Consider the following 16,586-nt stretch of genomic DNA (forward strand, 5'->3'; position numbering starts at 1 on the left):
GAATGTCTTCCTTCTCTAAGTCCTCTATGACTTTCATCCCAGTTAAAGTTTTATTCCTGTCCTTGTTGATGCAGCCTGTGTCGGGCAATCAGATGACGAGGCCAAGAGTTTGATTTCATTCATTCTGTTGATGGTGAAGATGCAAATATCTGAACCCAATCTCATCCCATTGACAGAAGGTAAATGGCATTTGGAAATCTCCTTTTTTTGTCTGCAACAGAGTCTTACTCTGTCACCCAGTCTAGAGTGCAATGGTGTGATCTCAGCTCACGGCAACCTCAATCTCCAGGGTTCAAGCAATTCTCCTGCCTGAGCCTCCTGAGTAGCTGGGATTACAGGTGCACACCACTACGCCCAGCTAATTTGTGTATTTTTAGTAGAGATGGGGGTTTCACCATGTTGGCTAGGCTGGTCTCGAACTCTTGGCCTCAAGCGATCCACTTGCCTCGCTCTCCCAAAGTGCTGGGATTAAGGGTATGAGCCACTGTGCCAGTCTCCTTTAATTAATCTTCAGTGAATACTACTGATGAGGCATTCAACTGAATCTGTAAAAACATTTGGCCACGATTTTGCCCTCAAGTGGATCAAACCACGGACAATTGCCCCAAGATGTGAGCCTGCTCTAGAGAACACCAGTTCCGTAGCAGGAGAAAGGGTTCAAGTCTCAATACATCATGTTTTCACTGCAGCTATGTGACCTTGAGTAAATCATGGCTTCTCTTCATCTATTTTCTCTTCTGGAAGAGTAGGTAAACTCAGATTGGCCTAACATTCTATTAAATTAAAAAGTCCTTCTACAAACAGAATGTTATTGGAGCCAAATAACCGCACTGTAAGGGAGCCAGGGCAGCACTGTCCTTCATACTTTAGGATGAAGAAGCCGAGCCCAAGGGGTCCACGAGTACTGGAAAGCCTTGTGACTGGTTGGAGACAAAGGCAATACTGTGACTCAGATCTCCTGACATCTTCTATCTCTCTCTCTCTCTCTTTTTTTTTTGAGACGTAGTTTTGTTCTTCTCACCCAGGCTGGAGTGCAGTGGCGCGATCTCAGCTCACTGCAAACTCCACTTCCTGGGTTCAGGAGATTCTCCTGCCTCAGCCTCCCGAGTAGCTGGGATTACAGGCGCTTGTCACCACACCTGGCTAATTTTTGTATTTTTAGTTGTATAGTTAGGGTTTCACCATGTCGGCCAGGCTGGTCTCGAACTCCTGACCTCAGGTGATCCGCCCATCTTGGCCTCCCAAAGTGTTGGGATTACAGGCGTGAGCCACTGTGCCCCGCCTCTTCCCTCCTTCTGTCCACTTAGTAAGACTCACTCTACACTCTGCCTCTCCACCTGTGTACTATGAGGACCAGAGGTTTTGTCTGTAAGAAGCGTTTGCAAACACATGCTGCCATTACAGCACAATTCTGATTCTTCTCCTCAGGAATCCCCTATGAACTTCTAGTGGAAAGACAAGCCATGAAAGCAGTCATTGAGGTGAGGACTGAAAAAACAAACAGCAAAGGCTGATTTTATTTTTTTCTGTGCCAGTGGTGCAGCTCACCTTTGCAGCATGAAAGCAGAGTTCGGTGTGCCCCTTTGTGTCAACACATCTATCAGATTTTCCAGTCAGTTTTCAATCAATTCCTTGGATATCAGGTATTAGGCCATAAAGCATTTCTTTCCACTTTATGGTTCTAAAATATAAACTATGGCCACAGCTGAAGCTTTTAAGTCTGATGGGGATGGCTCCCAAGAGAGGCTCTTCAGAAGCCTAAATAATAGTCTGAAGTGGGTATAAATTTGGGAGGAAACACAGACCCTCACTGCACTGACACTCAAGTCTCCCTAGGATATTTTCTTAGTGCTCACAAAGGACTCCCCTAGAGGTTTTGAAGAAATATGAAGAAACTATAAGACCCAATCTGTATACCCAAGGGTATTACAGACAATATGGTAGCAAAAGCACTTAAAAAAGATCTGTGAAGTCAGCACCTGCAACAATCTATCTGAACAACTCTACATGGAGATATACTCACACACAGTGGTGGAAGTGCAGATGTGGCTGGATTTGCTCATGTTTTGAATAGAGGTCTCTTAAAATGACTGTTTCAAGGTGTCCTTTCAGACCTGGGGGTTACCTGCTTCTTCTCTATATTTTTCTGCTTTTCAGAAAAATTCATCCTATCTGAATGAAGACTTTCAATATGTGGAATGAATGCCATACAGGTTCTGACTACATGATCAAAATTACTTATGTAACTTTGGGCCTGAGAAAGAATTGTACAGGGGACTACAGGATTTTATCCTAAAGGACCAGAATCCCTCTTTTTATTCACTTCCTGAGAATGAGCATGATTTCTTAGTTCAAATACACAGGCTGTCCCGCTGACTCCCAATCACCCAGATGGAAATGAGTGGTGTCAGTGCTGTGTGCAGGAAGCAGGATGTTACTTTAGACTCTGTGTGCAGGAGAGATGGCCGTAGTAACAAATTTATGTGGGTCTGGCCTTTCAATCCTGGAATTCAAATGCGCATGAGGTTGCAAAGGGGCCTGGAAATTCAATTGCCATCCCTTGACCTAGCCCAAAGCAAAACATGAAGAAGGTAACCAGGAGACACCACTGTAAATTGAAATCATCTGGTGTACATAGCATAGGGATATATAAACATGAAGTTTAAAGCATATAGAATTCTCCAGTGCCACTATCTTATAGGGTATGACATTTGTTCTTTCTAAAGTGCTACTGATATAATTTGATTCTTATAACTTTGTGAAGTAGGGAGGTGAATGTACATTTGGCAGATTGAGAAACCAAGATTCTAAAAGGTCAAGCGACTTGCCTAAAGTCATAAATGAGAGCTATGACAGTACCCCAACCTTCCAATGCCCTAGGATCTTTTTCTTTCTTTCCTTCCTTCATTCCTTCCCTCCTTCCTCTCTTTCTTTCTTTTTTCTCTCTCTCTCTCCTTCCTTCCTTCATTCCTTCCTTTCTTCCTTCTTTTTTTTCCCCGCATAATTTGATCTGCATTAGCCTCCAAAACTCCTTGGATTGGAATAAAATATGGCTCCTGTATTTTGTTTTGTTTTGGTCCTTTAAAAAATGTCCTTTCTTTATCATGCTTTATCATATATATACAGAAAAAGACACAAAATGAAGCAGAGCTTATTGAATTATTTTCAAAGACTTTTGTAACATCGCCAGCACGGTGGAGGTCCTTTGAGTGTACTGAGCCAGGAGGGCTTCATGGACATGAGACAGGATCCTGTGCTTAGCAGACCTCACACCTTGGTTAGTGTTCTACTGAAACTGTTTTAAAATTCCTAATAATTTATGAACAAGGAATCTTATATATTCATTTTGCACTGGGCCTGTCCAATTATGTACCCAGTCATGCTCCTACCCAATCACATCTCCTTCTCCCTCACAAATACCCATTATCCTAACTTTCACGGGTCCCTTTTTTGCTCTTCTGTATTGTTTTATCACCTCGGTATGCATATCTGCACATTATAGTTTACCTGTCAGAATTTTCTGTAAATGGAATTGCATGGCATATTATCTTGTGTGTCAACCTTGTTGGTGAGATTCAACCATTTGTTATTTGCACTTGTCTCATTCCTGTATAACATTTTCATCTGTGAGTATATCATAATTTTAAAAATATATTCTATTTTTGATGGAAATTTGAGAGATTTCTAGTTTTGGCTATTATGAATAAGGTTGTTATAAAAATTGTTGTATGTGTATCTCCGCACCAAAGTGCATCTGCTCCCATTGAGCATTTTACCTGTGAGTGGAATTTTGCTAGGTTATAAGGTGTGTGTTTGCTCAGCTTTATGGATAATGCCAAGTGTTTTCCAAAGTCATTGTCTCAATTTACACTCCCTCCAACAGCATCAGAGGATTTTCTTGTGCCACATTTTCACCAACGCTGGATGTTGTTGGTTCTTTCAATTTCAACCATTCCAGTGGGTGTGTATTAAATCACACTAATAATCTCATTGTGATTTTTTTTTTTTTTTTTTTGGAGACGGAGTCTCTGTCGCCTAGGCTGGAGTGCAATGGCACAATCTCAGCGCACTGCAACCTCCGCCTCCTGGATTCAAGCAATTCTTCCGCCTCAGCCTCCCGAGTAGCTGGGATTACAGGTACCCGCCATCGTGCCTGGCTAATCTCATTGTGATTTTTATATGGTCTTCCCTGATCAGTAATGAGGTTGAGTATCTTTCCAAAAATTTATTGGCCATTTGGCTATCTCCTTTTGTGTAGTTTCTTGCTGATTCTTTTATTAGTTGGGGTCTTTTCTTATTAATTTATGAGTTCTTTATACATTCTGATGACAGTTCTTTATCAGAACCATGTAGCAAATAGCTTCTCCCAGTCTTTACCTTAATAGGAGAGAAGTTCTTACTTTTAATGTAGTAAAATTTATCCAATTTTATGGTTGGTAACTTTTTGTGTCCTAATTAAAAATATTTTCCTTTCACAAATCATGAATACAGTCTTTAAAAAACTTGATTCCTTTGCTTTCACATGTAGACCTACAAAGCACCTGGAAACTGATACTTGCACGTACATATTAGCTAGAGGTCAAGTTTTTTCTTATATAAATGTACCATTATCCCAGAACTATTCATTGCAACAGCTTTTCTGCATTTCTCTAGAGTGGCATTTGTGTAATAGATCGTATAGTTATATATAGGTCTGTTTGGGGAGTCTTTATTGTATTCTATTTGTCTATCCTTGTACCAAATTCACACTGTTATAGTAGTTATATAGTTTCAAAAAAATCATGATATCTGGTAGAACACATTTCTGACAAACTTGTTCTCTTCTTCAAGATCATCTTGGCTACTCTTGACACTTTGCAATTACATTCAGATATTAGAATCAGCTTGTCAAGTTTTACAATGATATTTGCTGGGATTTTAATATGCAACTGCATCGAATCTATTTATTAGTTGGGGGGCGAATTAACATCCTGAAATGGACTGAATGTTTATGGCCCCCCAAAATTCACATGCTGAAATTCTAATCCCCAATATGATGGTTTTAGAAGGTGATTTGGGAGGGAATTAGGTCATGAGAATGAAGCCCTCATCAATGGGGTAAGTGCCTTTATAAAAGATACATCAGATAGCTCTTTCACCGTACTTTCACCATCTGAGAATATGAGAAGTCAGTTGTCTGCACCCTGAAAGAGGGTCCTTACCAGAACCTGACTATGCTGGTCCCCTCCCTGATCTTGGACTTCCAGACTCCAGAAACTGTGAGAAATAAATATTTATTGTTTAAGCCTCCCCATCTGATATAATTTGGATATTTGTTCCTTCCAAACATCATGTTGAAATTTGATCCCCAATGTAGGAGGTGGGGCCTAATGGGAGGTGTTTGGGTCATGTGGATGGATCCTTCATGAGTAGATTAATGCCCTCCTTCTGGGTGAGTTCTCGCTCTAATAGTTCCCACAAGAGCTGGTTGTTAAAAAGATCCTGGCACCTGCCAGGCGCAGTGGCTCACGCCTGTAATCCCAGCAGTTTAGGAGGCTGAGGCAGGCGGATCACGAGGTCAGGAGTTCAAGACCAGCCTGACCAATATGGTGAAACCTAGTCTCTACTAAAAAATACAAAAATTAGCCGGGCGTGGTGGCACCCGCCTGTAGTCCCAGCCCAGGAGGGAGACTGAGGCAGGAGAATCGCTGGAACCCGGGAGGCAGAGTTGCAGTGAGCCGAGATCACACCACCGCACTCCAGCCTGGGAGACAGAGTGAGACTCTGTCTCAAAAAAAAAAAAAAAAAAAAAAATCCTGGCACCTTCCCCTTCTCCCTCTTGCTTCCTTCCTCTCCCCTTCACCTTCCACCATAAGTGGAAACAGCCTGAGGCTCTCGCCAGATGCAGGTGCTGGTGCCATGCTTCTTGTACAGCCTGTAGAACAATGAGACAAATAAGCCTTTTTAAAAAATAAATCACTCAGCCTCAGGTATTCCATTATAGCAACACAAAAGAGACTAAGAAACCATTTTTGGTAATTTTTTTCTTTCTTTCTTTTTTTTGGAGACAGGCTCTCACTCTGTCACCCAGGCTGGAGTGCAGTGGTTTGATCACGGCTTACTGCAACCTCTGCCTCCTAGGCTCAAGCGATCCTCTCACCTCAGCCTCCTGAGTAGCTGGGACCACAGGTGCACACCACCATGCCTAGCTAATTTTTGTATTTTTTGTAGAGATGGGGTTTCACCATGTTGCCCACACTGGTCTCGAACTCCTGGGCTCAAACAATCCACCTGCCATGGCCTCCCAAAGTGCTGGGATTATAGGCATGAGCCACCACACCCAGCCTATGGTAATTTCTTATAGTAGCCCAAATTGACTAAGACACATCCTACATACTCAATGTATAAATATGCTTATATCCCTCTATTTGTTTAGGTTTTTAATTGCTCACAATAGTGATTTATAATTTTCTATGTAGAAGTCATGTGTATACTTCATATGTGATTCCAAATGGCACTTAAACATTTTGTGGTTGGTTGTTGAGATATATATATGTGTGTGTGTTTATATACTATATAGTTTATCTTATATTCAAAACCTCTCTTATGTGCTTATTAATTCTAACACTTTGTCTATAGATTATTTCAAATTTTGTGTGCATACAATATTATCTGTGAATAAGTTTTATTTTTTCCTTTCTAATTTCTACAACTTTAATCTTTTCTCTTAGATTATTGCACTGATTAGGATCTTCATTCAACATAACAGTGATTAGAGATAATAATAGCAGCATTCTTCTCTTGTTCTCAATCTCAAAGAGAAGCTTTCAGTATTTCATCATTCAACATAATGCTCAATTAGGTTGTTTTATGAATACATATTTATCAGATGCATTTATTCTAGTTTGGTAAAAGTATTTTTCCATTATTAATTCATGATGCATTTTATCCGATGTTTTTGGGGAGCATCAATTGAGATGATAATTTTTCCTCTTTACTCTGTTACCATGGTGAATTAAATTGCTTGATTTCTCAATATTAAACAAAACCATTGAGTTCCTGGAATTATAAAGCCAATTTAATCATGGTATATCATCTTTTTATATATTAGTTGAACCCAGGTTGCTAATATTTTGTTTAGGATTTTTGGATCTAAGCTTATGACTGAGAATCACCTGTAATTTTCCTTTGTTATGTGCCTTTATCAAATTTTATTATCAAGATTATTTGATCATCTTTCTTTTTTATTCTCGAGAAGAGTTTGTGTAAGTTTCATGTAATCTCTTCCTTAAATGATTGATGAATTTTTTAAGTGAAAGCTTTGGGTTTAGTTTGATTATGTTTAATAATTTTAGAAAGATTCAGATATTCTATTTTTTTGTTAGTTTTGGTGAATTGAATATTTTTAGAAGAATGTTTCGATTTCATCTAAATTTTAAAATATGTTGGGTTAAAGGTTTTTAAAATCATCTTTTTAATCTTCTACAGGCTCTATAGTGATGTTCCATGGGTCCCTTCTTTCACCCTGATTTCTTTTTTTGTTTGTTTGTTTGAACCATTCCCACCTTCACCCCCTCCCCACCTCCTGGCCCCACACTACCCTTAGAGCCTCTGGTAACCATCCTTCTACTCTCTATGTCCAGGAGTTCAACTGATTTCATTTTTAGATCCCACAAATAAGTGAGAACATGTGATATTTGTCTTTCTGTGCCTGGCATATTTCACTTGGAATAATGATCTCCATTCCATTCATGTTGTTGCAAATGACTGGATCTTGTCCTTTTGTATAGCTGAATAGTATTCCATCATGTATATGTACCACATTTTCTTTATCCCTTCATCTATTGATAGACAATTAGGTTGTTTCTAAATCTTAGCTATTGTAAACAGGGCTGACAGTGCTGCAGCAAACACTAGAGTGAAGACAAACCTTCAACAAAACTGGTTTACTTTCTTTTCGGTATATACTCAACAGTGGGGTTGCTGGGTCATATAGCAGCTCAATTTTTAGTTTTTTAAAGAACTTGCAAACTGTTCTCCACAGTGGTTTTACTAATTTACATTCCCAACAACAGTGTACAAGTGTTTCCTTTTCTCCACATCCTCGCCAGCGTTTGTTATTGCCTGTCTTTTGGATATAAGCCATTTTAACTTGGGTGAGATAATAGCTCATTGTAGTTTAGATTTGCATTTCTCTGATAATCAGTGATGTTGAGCACCTTTTTCATACGCCTGTTTGCCATTTGTATGTCTTCCTTTGAGAAATGTCTGTTCAATTTGCCCATTTTTGGATCAGATTATTATATTTTTTCCTATACAGTTGTTTGAGCTCCTCGTATATTCTGGTTATTAATCCCTTGTCAGAGAAGTAGTTTGCAAATATTTTCTCTCATCCTGTGGGTTGTTTCTTCACTTTGTTGGTTGTATCCTTTGCTGGGCAGAAGCTTTTTAACTTGATGTGATTCACTTACCCATGTTTGTTTTGGTTGCCTGTGCTTGTGGGATAATTCTCAAGAAGTCTTTGCCCAGACCAATGTCCTGAAGATTTTCCCAAAAGTTTTCTTGTAATAGTTTCATGGTATGAGGCCTTAGATTTAAATCTTTCATTAATTTTGATTTGATTTTTGTATGTAGTAGGAGATGGGGGTCTAGTTTGCTTCTTTTGCTTACGGATATCCAGTTTTTCCAGCACCATTTATTGAAGAGACTATCTTTTCCCTAGTGTATGATCCTGGCACCTTTGTCAAAAATGAGTTCACTGTAGGTGTGTGGATTTGTTTCTGGGTTCTCTATTCTGTTCCACTGTTCATGTGTCTGTTTATATGCCAGTACCATGCTGTTTTGGTTACTATAGCTCTCTAGTATAATTTGAAGTCAGGTAATATATTCCTCCAGTTTTATTCTTTTTGCTTAGGATAGCTATGGCTATTCTGGGTCTTTTGTGGTTTTGTATAAATTTTAGGATTGTTTTTTCTATTTCTCTGAAGAATGTCATTGGTATTTTGATAGGAATTTCACTGAATCTGTAGATTGCTTTGGGTAGTCTGGACATTTCAACAATATTAATTCTTCCCTTTTATGAACATGAAATATTTTTCCATTTTTTTTGGTGTCTTCTGTTCCTGCTTTCTGATATTCGTTCTCATGCTCTCATTTGACTTAGTCTTGCCAACGGTTTAAAAACTTTATTAGACTTTAAAAAATCATCTTTTGGTGTTAATTCTGTTTTCTACTTTAATTATTTCATTCTTCCCTTTCTTTTGATTCTACATGTTGTTATTTGTCTAATTTCTTTTTTCCCCCTAAGGTAGTTTTGTTATAGCATGCCTAATTTCTTGAGATTAATATTTTGTCTTGTTTTGTAATTATACACTTAAGATTATAACTTCCCTGCTAAACACTGATTTTGCTCTATTACGCAAGTTTTTCCACGAAAAATATTATCTCTCAGCTCAAAATATTTTTAAATTTTCATTGCGATTTCTTTTTACCCACTGGTCATTTAGAAGAACGTTTCTTACTGTTTATAAATGTAGAAATTTTCTAGTTTAAAAAGCTATTTATCTCCATTTTAATTGCTTTGCTTTCACAGAACATATTTTATAGTTTCAGTTATTTTAAATTCGTTGAGACTTGCCTTACGATCTAACACATAGTCAATTTTTGTAAACATTTGTATGTGCTTAAAGAGTTGTTGAGTGTTGTGTTCTATATATGTAGATTAGGTCGATTTATTAATCATGGTGTTCATGATCCTACTTCCTTCTAATTTCTCTCCGTGTGACCTGTCAGTTACTCCCACAGTGTTGGGTGGCTTTTTCTGTTTCTCCTTATAATTCTATTTTTCTATTAAATATTCAGAGACTATGCCATTACATAAATAAAAAATGAAATTGTTTTATCTTCCGAGTAAGTGAAGCCTTTTCTTAATGTGAAGTGTTCCTATTAATGTAATGCTTTTTTTCTTAAAGTATACTTTAGTGAATATTAATGTAGCTATATCAATTTAGGGCAGGGCTTCAGGTGACAAATTTTCTCTTTTGTGTGTGTGTCATTTGAACACTGAATAAATCATATAATTATCTTCTGAATTTCATGCTTTCACTTGAGAAATCAGCTAATGATCTAGTTTTTGTAACTTTAAATGGTATATTTATACACTTTTTATCCTTTCACTCTCACCCTTTCTGAATCTTTGTATATCCCATCAGTAGCTGTAAAGATTTTTGGTCTTCCCAAGAAATCCATTCTCACAGAATTTGTCTTTTAATTGGGGTATATAATTTATTTACTTTTAACATAATTACAAATATGAGTTTAAATCTACCATCCTACTATAAGTTGAGTTTTTCTTATCCAAAATACTTGGGACTACAAGTTTTTCAGATTTCAAATGTTTTTGGATTTTGGAATATTTGCACATATATAATGAGATATCTTGGGGATGAGACCCAAGTCTAAATGTGAAATTCATTTGTTTTATATATACCTTAAACACATAGCCTGAAGGTAATTGTATATATTTTAATAATTTTGTGCATGAAACAAAGTTTATTTACACTGAACCATCAGAAAGCACAGGTGCCATTATTTCAGCCACCTGTATGGACAATCTGTCATTGTTTGGCATCACCATCTTTACTGACTGAATTTATATGCAACTGAGAAGCAATCATTTTCTTACACTTACTCACACAAGTACCCAACAGTAAAAACTAGGAGGTACCATGAATCCAGTGAAAAAATAATGTTCAGGGTAACTAAGCAGCACAGTAGCGTCACCAGAATACCTGTATCAGTTTTTAAACAATAGCAACCACAAAGAACGGCAAGTTTTCAATCTCTACTTTTGATGTGTGTTTCGATGAAAAGGTTACTATACACTGAATTTTACCTTTCTAGATGAGAAGAAACATTAGAAGCAGTTGAGAGACGAGGAAGTGGGTCCTCCAGGAATGAGGAGGCATTCTGCTGCATGGCTATTTTTAAATGGCTGGAGGGTCTGTTTTCCCTTGGAAATCCTGAATAAACTGAGGTTGTGCGTCTGCATTTTGACTACAACCCATCACATGAGGTGGTGTGGAATTTTCCACATATAACATCATATCAGTGATCAAAAGTTTCAGATTTTGGAGCATTTCAGATTAGGGATGCTCAACCTGTATAACAACTCTTTGATTTTAATGTCTTTTTTTCCCTGGATGCCTTTAAGATTTTATTTTTGTTTCTGTTTTCCTGAAGTTTAATTAAGATGCATCTAGGAGTGAATTTCTTTTCCTTTATACTGCTTGGGTTTCCGGCAGCTTCCTGAATCTGTTGGCTGATGCTTTGCTTTAGTTTTGGAACATTTTGCCATCAACCCTGCTAATATAGCTTTACTACTTCTGTTCTCACTGTATCCTCTACATTTCTTACCTTCTGTTCAATGTTTCATCTCTTTTGAGTTTCATTTTAGATTGTTTCTTCAGACCTGCTTTTCAGTTTACCAATTCTCTATTACTTTATTTCTAATTTGCTGTAACACCTATCCTGGGCATTTTTTTTTTTTTTTTGAGATGGAGTCTCGCTCTGTCACCCAGTCTGGAGCGCAGTGGCGCAATCTCGGCTCACTGCAAGCTCTGCCTCCTGGGTTCATGCCATTCTCCTGCCTCAGCCTCCCCAACAGCTGGGATTACAGATGCCTGCCAACACGCCCGGCTAATTTTTTTGTATTTTTAGTAGAGATGGGGTTTCACCGTGTTAGCCAGGATGGTCTCGATCTCCTGACCTCGTGATCCGCCCGCCTCGGCCTCCCAAAGTGCTGGAATTACAGGCGTGAGCCACCGTGCCTGGCCCATCCTGGGCATTCTTAATTGGGATTACTGCATTTTTTTGGTTCTAGAATTTTTCTTTCTCCCAAATTTGCCCTGTAATCTTTTCATGGTTTTCAGTTCTTTGCCAAAATTTCCAATCTTTTCATTTTTTCTCCCTGAACATTGCAAGCTGATAGCTTCAATATGTCAAGCCTGTGCATGTTTTGTTCTATTGAGCATGTTTCCTACTAATTCTCATTCATGATTGTTGTTTCCTTGTATGCTGGTTTATCCTTGTGTGACAGAAATTTTATTTGAAAAATTGGTTTGTTTGTACAGATGTAGGATGACATTATATACCTCCAGAAAGGATTGTGCTGCTGTTGTTCCAGGCACTTGAGAGCACTAGCCATCTGGTATCGCCTTATTTCAGGACTATTGAAATTTCTGTCTGATAATTGTTTATTGTGGAAGGGATGTCCTATGCCTTGTAGGAAGTTTAGGAGTTTCCCTGGCCTCTCCCCACTAGATGCTAACAGCATCCCTTCCCAGTCCTGACTATCAAAGATGTCTCTAGACATTGCCAAATGTCCCTGGTACTTGAGAACCACTCCCTTAACCCAAAACAAGGTGATTTTATCAGGTTTAAACATAATGGTGCCTGATCTCACTTTTGTACCTCTAACACATCAAAGTTTCCCAGCCGCTCAGTAATCTTTTTTAGAATCCCTGGGTGGAAAGCAATGCCAAATGTCATCTTTATCTCTTTGATCTTCTCTCAAATCTTAGTTCAGTAATTTTTACTTTGTAAAGTCTTTCAAGTAAATTTTTAAAAATTGTCTTTCTTGTTGCTCTCAGTGAGGAGACCCATATTACCTACCATGCCTCAACATAGGATGAATCTACATACACACATTACTGCTGCCTGGACAACACCCTGCCATATCCTTTGATTTATCTGCAAATGTGGTTATAGGGCTTCCGTATTTACTGTCTGCTTCCCACATGGGTCATTATGCTGCTTGGAATAGGCTTTCTCTTTTTTGCCGTTCTTCAAGAGAAATGTCTAAAGAGCCAGTCTTCAGCTCTAAGTGTCAATGGCCTCTTCCCAAATAGAATGTGTTTAGTGTAAATGCCCATTCGTTTTTATTAGTGGTGTGTTTCCTCTTTGGTATATTGTAGGTCTTGAAGACAGGAGCTCATACGGTGCTTTCTACAATAGCTGCTTACAGAGCTTAAAAATCTTCTGGTCTAAACAGATGTGGAAATTGAAATGCAAAAAGTCCAAGTGAATAAATAAAGTACTGTTGTGGGCTAACTAGAACTGAAAGAATATCTCACCCCTAGAGGAACGGGAAAGGCCAGAATGAATCAACTCACATGCAGACTAAGTAATCGAGTGGCAAGGTTTGGGTTCAGGAAATGAGACAGTAATTTCCAATTGTGAAGTTCAAAAGGGGATGGTCCCAGGAAAAACAGTATTGGCTGTTTGTGTAGAGCACCTCGGACATAACTAACTCCATCTTAGAAAAAGACTTTACTTTATATTTCATAGGGCACTTTGCCAATAAGGATAACATGTTTTGTTTAATAAACATATAAAGAAATGAAGATTGCATCCAACCAGATAAGTTCACAAACAAGCACACTCTTCCACTATCAGTTTTCACCAGAGGACTCTGTGACCATAAAAAAAATTAAGCCTTCAGGAGCTTCAAACAGCCATCTTAACTGACACAGTCTTGCAGTCACTTGTAATAAAAACTTGGTATCTACCACTGAAGGCTTTGCCACCTCAGAGGCTCTTCCTTGCAAGACCTACTGTATTAGCCCATTTTCACGCTGCTGATAAAGACATACCTGAGACTGAGACATACCTTACATTTCCACATGGCTGGTGCGGCCTCAGAATCACGGCGGGAGGTGAAAGGCACTGTTTACATGGTGGCAGCAAGAGAAAAAGGAGGAAGATCCAAAAGCAGAAACCCCTGATAAACCCACCAGATTTCGTGAGACTTACTCACTATCATGAGAATAGCACGGGAAAGACCGGCCCCCGTGATTCAGTTACCTCTCCCTGGGTCCCTCCCACAACACGTGTGAATTCTGGGAGACATAATTCAAGTTGAGATTTGGGTGGAGACGCAGCCAAACCATATTATTCCACTCCTGGCCCCTCCAAATCTCATGTCCTCACATTTAAAAACCAGTCATGCCCTCCCAACAGTCCCCCAAAGTCTTAACTCATTTCGGCATTAATCCAAAAGTCCACAGTCCAAAGTCTCATCTGAGACAAGGCAAGTCTATTCTGCTTATGAGCCTGTAAAATCAAAAGCAAGCTAGTTACATCCTAGATACAATGGGGGTACAGATATTGGGTAAATACAGCCGTTCCAGGCCAGGCGTGGTGGTTCACACCTGTAATCCCAGCCCTTTTGGAGGCTGAGGCAGGCAGATCACGAAGTCAGGAGATCGAGACCATCCTGGCTAACATGATGAAACCCCGTCTCCACTAAAAAATAGAAAAAATTAGCTGGGCGTGGTGGCGGGCGCCTGTAGTCCCAGCTACTCAGGAGGTTGAGGCAGGAGAATGGCGTGAACCCGGGAGGCGGAGCTTGCAGTGGGCCGAGATCGCGCCACTGCACTCCAGCCTGGGAGACAGAGCGAGACTCTGTCTCAAAAAAAAAAAAAAAAAAAAAAGAGTGCCTCTATTCCAGAGAGGCAAGACAAACATGTCTGTGCTCCAATATGCAGATTGAGGGAGGGAAGATTTGGGGAAAAGTAGGAAAAAATTTGAAAAAGAAATCTAAAACCTAGATTTAGGACAAAAATTAGAACAAGGGAAGGAGGAGAAAGACTAGAGAGAAAAAACAGGGCAAGCTGCTGTAACAGATTGTATTTTCCAAAGATGGTCTCACCAATATACATCCCATCTTACATGCTCTTACAATGTGGCATTGACATTCTTCCATCAAGAGGCAGAGTCTAGTTCCCCACTTCCCCAGTCTGCACAGATCATTTATAAATAGCTCAATATGAAAGTGACTGGGTGTAGCTTCTGAGCTTTGGTCAGAAAGCACATTACATGTTTCACTTTGGACCACTCAAGACGCCCATGTGGAGAGGAACTGAGGCTTCCAGCTTAGAGCCAGCACCAACTTGCCAGCTGAGTCAGCTAACTAGAATGGGCATCTTCCAGTCCCACTCAAGCCATACAGTTTTCAGATGATGACAGGCTCATATTAATAATTTTTTAGATGACAGATATGTTAATGAACATATCACTACAACCTTATGAGACACTCCAAGTGATAACAGCCCAGCTGAGCCTTTCTCAAATTCTTGATCAACAAAAGCCAAGAGAAGTAATATTGTTGCTTTAATACACTAAATTTTGGGGTATTTTGTTATACAGCAATTAATAACTAATATATTTTCTCCTACAATTTATCATTGCACAATGATGGGCATGAAGCAAACATTACCTTCAGAAGATTTGGATTCAGTGGCATCTAATGTGCATGAAGGGCCAGTGGAGAACTTTAAAGTCTTTTATTTCCATAATGACAATCACAGCAAGGTGAAAGTGGGCAGCCGATCTGGGGGAGAATATTTAGCCTCAGGGATTTATAACCTGTGCTATGGTTTGAATGTTTGTCCCTTCTAAAACTCATGTTAAAGTTTAATTGCCGTTGTAACAGTATTAAGATATGGGACCTTTAAGAGGTGATGAGGCTATGAGGGCTCCACTTTGATGGGTGGGATTAATGCTGTATGAAAAAAGCTAGGCCCCCCCTTGCCTCTGTGGCCTGACTTCTGCCGTCTGATGATGCACCAAGAAGGTCCTTGCCAGATGCTGGCACCATGATATTGGACTTCTCAGACTCTAGAATTGTTAGACAATGCATTTCTGTTTATAAATTGCCCATTCTCAGGTATTCTGTTACAGGAACACAAAACGTACTAAAACAGATGTTAGTTGGACCATCAGCTTCATAGACTATTTAAAGACTAGGCAAAGATGTATACTCATTAGCTAAGCAAGGGAGGGTAAATCTTGGTTAGACCAGAGATGAGATTCTTCCTATGGTGTGCTGGTATTTTTTCCTGGGTCCTTATGACATCCAGGCCTCTACCCTCACATAGGTGTTGTAATTCAGAACACAAACCTAATAATGTTTCTCAAAAATGTTAGCGGCCTTTGGATTCTTCTTTTCAAAGAATAGTTCTAGAATATTTCTCCATGATAGAGTATTTTGAAGGAGAGAGCGGTCTAATTTGATGAATGAATCCATCAGTTGGAAGGGCTTTGGCCTTAGTGTCAAGAAATCTGGGTTCTAGTCTTGAAGTGTTCACCAACAGTAAGTGTGATTTTTAGCAATTCCCTTGAACTTCAGAAGTTTTACTGAGATATTTTCTCCAATGTCCAAAGATTTTTGCAGCTCACTGACTATGATTTAGAAGATTTTGTAGTGGTGAAATGTCTTCCTAGATAATAACTATGTATGTTCATTAAACATTGCTATACATAATAGGGTATATTGCAGCAAATATCTAGAACTGTAGCGTACGGCATTCAGGAACACCAAAGAAATGAATTAACTAAAAAGCACAATTACATTTGTATTTAAATAGAAGACTGTTTTGCTTAAAGTGTTTTATGTTTATAAAATACCTGCATGCTTCATATTATTCCTTGAAAAGAATGTGTACCTTGTGCTTAGTAAAAGAATCCATACAATTATGTTTCTATTCTGTTTCTCCAGTTTATTATTTTCAACCTATAGCCTGAAGTCACCAATCTCTTTGTGCCCC

The sequence above is a fragment of the Homo sapiens genome, chromosome 15, assembly GCF_000001405.40.
Source record: "Homo sapiens chromosome 15, GRCh38.p14 Primary Assembly".
Taxonomy (NCBI): Eukaryota; Metazoa; Chordata; class Mammalia; order Primates; family Hominidae; genus Homo; species Homo sapiens.